Source organism: Homo sapiens, chromosome 6 (genome assembly GCF_000001405.40).
Source record: "Homo sapiens chromosome 6, GRCh38.p14 Primary Assembly".
NCBI lineage: Eukaryota > Metazoa > Chordata > Mammalia > Primates > Hominidae > Homo > Homo sapiens.
In genome coordinates, this window is record NC_000006.12 from 40,788,939 (window position 1) to 40,790,221 (window position 1,283).

Here is a 1,283-nt window from a genome sequence, read left to right on the forward strand (position 1 = left end):
TGTTGTGGGGAGGCCCTCAGGCACTCAGGCTGGGTTTTGTTGCCTCATTCAGATACCCTGGTCCTATCCTGCCAAGAATCATGCATCACTCTTTTCCGTGGCTGTTAAAATTGGCTCTGTTGCATTTGTGATTCTACAGCAGGAAACTATAATCAAATCAAGGAAGAAAACTCCAAAAGAGAATGGTCTCTCCCTCTCCCTTTCTCTTTCTTTACACACACACACACACACACACACACACACGCACACACACACATACCACTCAGGGAGAATCAGAAAGGAAGGCAATAGCAGATATAAAAATGCAGAGAGAAAAAAAATGGAGATAAAAGGAAATAGAAACAAAAAGAGACACACAGGCTCTCTGCAGTGCGGAGGCCTGGTAGGACAGGAAGTCGAGGAGGGGAGGTGTGGAGGTGTGAGATTCTCAGAGGGAGAGAGTGGAGGAGGCGGCCAGCCATGCAGGAAAGAGAGGCAGCCATGAAGAGATTGTGTTCAGGCTGCAATGTTTAAGATCCTAAATAATAGTAATGACATAGTGTGCACGTGCATGTGTGCATGCATGTGTGTGTGTGTGTGTACACCTCTGGGTGTGTGCTCATGAGCATTAATGGCACAGAAACAGAGCACAGGCACAAAGGCAGGAAGCAGATGGCCTGGGAAAAATCCAAGGGGCTTTTGAGGGCGCTTATTATCCCAGGCAGAGCCTTGCCTGCTTCTCTGAAGGCACATAATCAATACTTCCTGAATAATGTTGAACGATGCAATCCAGTCCTTTACCAAGAGGGTGGATCACAGGTGGGACAGTAAATGCAGACATGGCCCTCCTACCCACTTTTCCTACTTTACTACCACACCTGCAAAGCCAATCAATAATGAAAAAGTGCCAAGTTGCTGGCCTAGAGCCCTGGGGCTCAGATCCACACATCTCACTTGGAAGTGCGACTTTCTTTCCTTTCTCTGAGTTAAAATGATGTGTTCAGATCCTCACTCCCCTGCTAGACTGAAGGCACCCTGAGGGCATGCCACATTTATTATTTATCTTTGTTTCACCACAGTGCCCAGCACAGTACCAGGTGCTCAATATATGCTTGTTAAATAAATGAACTGTATGGCGGTAGCTGTCATATGTCCCAGGGCACAAAAATGGTCTACAGAGCAAGATTTGACAGGGTGCCACACACACCCAACAACATGCTGTGCTTGTTTTTCCTCCCTCGCTCCCTCTCTTCTCTCCCTTTCTTCCTCCCTTCACCAGGATTGATCAAGCCCCTATTCCAAAC

The 1,283-nt window shown here is 47.2% G+C and overlaps 2 annotated features.

Moving 5' to 3' along the window:
* Window positions 314-493: an enhancer, noted in NCBI's record as "active region_24496". NCBI's record gives its function as "activates an Ori minimal core promoter by ATAC-STARR-seq in GM12878 lymphoblastoid cells {active_cell/tissue: GM12878}" and the evidence as "EXISTENCE:reporter gene assay evidence [ECO:0000049][PMID:35858748]".
* Window positions 452-746: a silencer, noted in NCBI's record as "tiled region #15012; K562 Repressive non-DNase unmatched - State 21:Repr". NCBI's record gives its function as "represses a minimal TATA promoter and a strong SV40 promoter by Sharpr-MPRA in K562 cells {active_cell/tissue: K562}" and the evidence as "EXISTENCE:reporter gene assay evidence [ECO:0000049][PMID:27701403]".